This window comes from Homo sapiens, chromosome 7 (genome assembly GCF_000001405.40).
Source record: "Homo sapiens chromosome 7, GRCh38.p14 Primary Assembly".
Taxonomy (NCBI): Eukaryota; Metazoa; Chordata; class Mammalia; order Primates; family Hominidae; genus Homo; species Homo sapiens.
The window spans coordinates 109,635,574-109,639,293 of NC_000007.14; positions in this window are offsets into that span (position 1 = coordinate 109,635,574).

The window sequence follows — 3,720 nt, forward strand, 5'->3', positions numbered from 1 at the left end:
TCCTGCTTAACCAGAGCCAAGTTACAACAAATTCCACTTACGTGGAATGTGACATACAAATCCCTTCAACGACTCTCAGTGAAAGTTGTAATTAAAATGATACTGACTCCATCTCAACAATCACAGCTGCTTGCTGTTTTGATAAAGTATAACCATTTATAGGCTTCATGGTAGGATGTGAAAGGCAAGAAAAATATGACCAAGGTTAATAACAGAGGTTAACCTAGGAAATGCATCTGGGACATGTATTATAACGTGTAATCCATTTTCTCTAACAAAGCCACTTCAGTGAAGGCTATTTGGTTAGATTTTGACAGGAAACAAAGGGTTTGAATGAAGAAATTTTAAAGATAGGCCTCCTTACAGAATTATATGCAGGGTTAAGAAAAAATAAAAAACAAATACCAACAAAAACAAGAGCACTGTATCCATAGCTAACAACAATCTGAAGTCCTTACTACATCTATGGTTGAATGGGCAAGAAGAGTAAACCATATCATCAGAGCACTTGAGATTGAAACCATGGAGAAGAGGGCATCTGCTGGGGGTGGGAGTTATTTAGAAATTCAACAAATACTTAAGGAAGGTGCCACAGCAAGGAAGAAGTAGAGCAGTAATACTCTAAATTTCTCTTCTGTTTTCTCTTTTCTCCTACCCTCTGATGTTCTGTGGTGCTCTACATTGGCAAAATCACATGGCAAGCCAGTCAGCAGGGGGTCCAGGTGAAGCAGATTCCAAGGTCTGCCTCTCATGACCCAAAACAGGGCAGGGAAAGGTGGAAAGCAGATACCTGGGGCCGAAAGAATGTAACCAGTATAAGGAATTAGTATTTTCCTTCTAAACATGAGAGGAAAAATAGAAATCACTAGTACAGTTATGCATTTCTCTAACTCATTACATAATGCCTCTGTGTTTTATTTTAGACAAAAAGGATGTGTAATATTTGGAATTGTGTTCAACACATTGAAGTAGGTATATGTGATACTCAAATATGAGATGCACTATTTTCAATTTACTAAATATTTACTGTTTGACTTGCTATTACGAGATTTGTTCTGAGATGATTGGATATACTTGTTTACAATCAAAGGCAGAACAAAGAATAGGCTTGAAGTGCAAGATGAAGAATTTATTATTAGCACTAGTAAGACTATGACATTGTATTAAATATTTATCTGTGTGAGCTGACTTAGATTAGTAAAACTACAGACAGAGATGAAAAATCAGGTTTCTTCACACCTAGGTTGTAATTTTTTCTAACGGATGTTCATCTAAAAATAGAAAGGCTAGAATTTAGTAATTCCTGCTCACAGGTCCAAAGAAATTTAATCTATTCATAATGTCAATTTATGAGAACAAATGTCATGGAAATAATTGCTTTAAGAATTTTTCCCCCATAAACATAAGCAAATAACAGGCTATCAGCATCTGTAATGTATACTTGCATGTGCCAGTATAGAATCACTCTGTGGGATTTGTTTATGAGCTTCAATGTCAAAACTACACTCAATAGAGGCGATTTCTAGAAAAAATTTAAATAGCAGGTTCTTATTTACCATATTTTACCATATATGACTGCACTACAAATAAAAGACTAGACATTTTTTCCCACAAGTCATCTGAAAAATGCCATACAAATAAACCCTTTTCTCCCACCTGAAGAGTGTATTAGATTCCTGGGGTTATACAAAATACCACAAACTGGGTGGCTGAAAACAACAGAAATTTCTAGGCTTACAATTCTGGTAACTGGAAGTCTGAAACAAGACTTCAGGGCCATCTTCTAGCTGAAATCTCTAGGGAGATCCTTCCTTCCTTGCCTCTTCCTATCCTTTATTGGCTTGCCAGCATATAGTCAAAGAGGGAAAGCTTCTCCTTTACCCTCTGAAGGTTTGCTGAAAATGAACTGACAAAAGGCAGCTTAATTGGAGAAAAGGACATACAAAATTTATCTAATGGCATAAACACTAGGGAATTGCAGAAGAATGATTACCCAATAACTCAATGAGGTCCAGATGCTTATATACCCTACTTTATCTGGGATGGTGAGATGGGGGTTGTAGGATTAAGTCATTTTAGGTGAAAGTAATGAGCACAAACGCAATGACCTGGGACTGTTTATCTGAGCTCTGGGGTAAGTGTTGGTAAGGCGAGGGGTGGAACTTCACTATAAGCAAATGTCGTATTACGCAGATAAAGTCTCCCAGATAATCTCCTGAAGTTATTCACAAAAGAATAGACAAAAATTCTCTCTGAGTGTGAGGAAAATGCCCAGTCTGTTCTCTTCTCTGGTGGTTAATCTTCACTGATTATTTGATAAGATCACTAAGGAGGGAGGGGGTCTTAACACAATTGTATTTCTTTTGGGGAGAAGTTATTTTAGTCAGATAAGGAAATTCCAGTAAAGTCTCTCCCAGCGCTTTGGGGGGAAAAAAAAAGAATTGGCAATTTGTAGGTGGCAGGAATGGGTGAGGAATGGTTGGGGGGGTGGGGAGGTAGGAGTAGAGGGTGTTAGGGAGCCAGAGAGACACTTTGGTTCTGAAGCTGGTTTCTGAAGCCTTTTAATTTTCTATAATTAAAAGCACTCAGCATTCCAAAGCCTGATATTTTGGAGTATTGTTTTGTGCACCCCAACACCAGGAATCTTTGGATTTCCTTGCCTTGCAACTGCACAACTCCAGTACTTGCCTTCCTCATCACGTGGCCTTCTCCTTGTGTGTCTCTTGTCACATGGTTATTTTCTTCTAAGAACACAAGGCAAATTGAATTAGAGATCCACCCTACTCCATCATGGCCTAATTTTAACTTAACTAATTATATTTGCAAGAGCCCTGTCTTAGTCCATTTTGTGCTGCCATAACAAAGTACTTGAGACCGGGTAATTTACTAAAAGCCAAAATTTATTTCCTCACCATACTGGAGGCTGGGAATTCTAAGATTAAAACGCTTACATCTGGCCATTGTCTTCTTGCTCATCATCACAATGACAGAAGACATGACATGGCAAAAGGACAAAGAGAAAGAGAGTAAGACAGGGTGAACCCACTCCCTCAATAATGGCATTAGTGCATTCATGAAGAAGCCTCATGACCTTAACACCTCTTACAAGTTCCACCTCCCAATACCATCACAATGGAAATAATTCAATTTTAACATGAGTTTTGGAGGAGACAAACATTAAATCAATAGCAGACATTATTACCAAATAAGGTCAGATTCTAAGGTATAGGGATTAGGACTTCAAAATATCTTTTAGGGGGACACATTTCAATCCACAACAAAGAGTAAGGAATGAAATTTTAAGCACATGTCTAGAAATGGACACTGAATAAGTTCTTATAAAATAGTTCTATCATCATTCTATTTTTTTTAACAAAAACCACTTCTAATGTTTGTTCGAATAACTTTTGATAGTTGATTCAAAAGTAGCCATTTGAAATATAAACTAAATAGTATTTTAATGCATTCAGTAATCAAAAGCTACTTTAATTTTCTATCACCATCCCATTTTATTGGCAAGTTGTCTTGGTATTAGAAATACTTAGAGTTTTAGGAGGATTAATTGGGATAAATCAAGATAGGATAATATTGGAGGAAGAAGATTAGTTTTAGTGTGTTGCTATAATTCAGGCTATAAGAAATAGGGCCTAATTTAGACTTAAAAAAAGGAATAGAAAGGAGGTGACATGATATGGTGTGGAATATTCTGGCGTTAATATG